Genomic DNA, 482 nt, shown 5'->3' with positions numbered 1-482 from the left:
TTGGCATGTGTTTCTTTTAGGAGGGGGAAAGACCTGATCTTTCTACAACATTCTTAACTCTCAGTTCAGGGAGCCCTTTGGCTTTTGACAGCTTCACTTCCCAGTGGCCACCAGCAGGTGGAGGCATAGACCAGCACTCTTTGTGTCAATTGCCAATTGTGGGGGGTTGTGCTGCACCTTGGACTGGGGGGTTTCGGAGTTGGGGAGAGGGGGTCAGAAAGAGTCTGAAGTGTGGGGCAATGGTGGCATTTTCCTTCTAAAAGACCCCTGAGTAGGGATGGGCATGATGACTCACGCCTGTAATCCCAGCACTTTGGGAGGCTGAGGCAGGTGGATCACTTGAGGTCAGGAGTTCCGAGACCAGCCTGGCCAACATGATGAAACCCTGTCTCTACTAAAAATATAAAAAATTAGCCAGGTGTGGTGGTGCGTGCCTGTAATCCCAGCTACTCGGGAGGCTGAGGCAGGAGAATCGCTTGAAT

The sequence above is a fragment of the Homo sapiens genome, chromosome 1, assembly GCF_000001405.40.
Source record: "Homo sapiens chromosome 1, GRCh38.p14 Primary Assembly".
Lineage (NCBI taxonomy): Eukaryota > Metazoa > Chordata > Mammalia > Primates > Hominidae > Homo > Homo sapiens.
The sequence above is the reverse complement of the archived record's forward strand: the minus strand, read 5'-3'. Positions refer to the sequence as shown.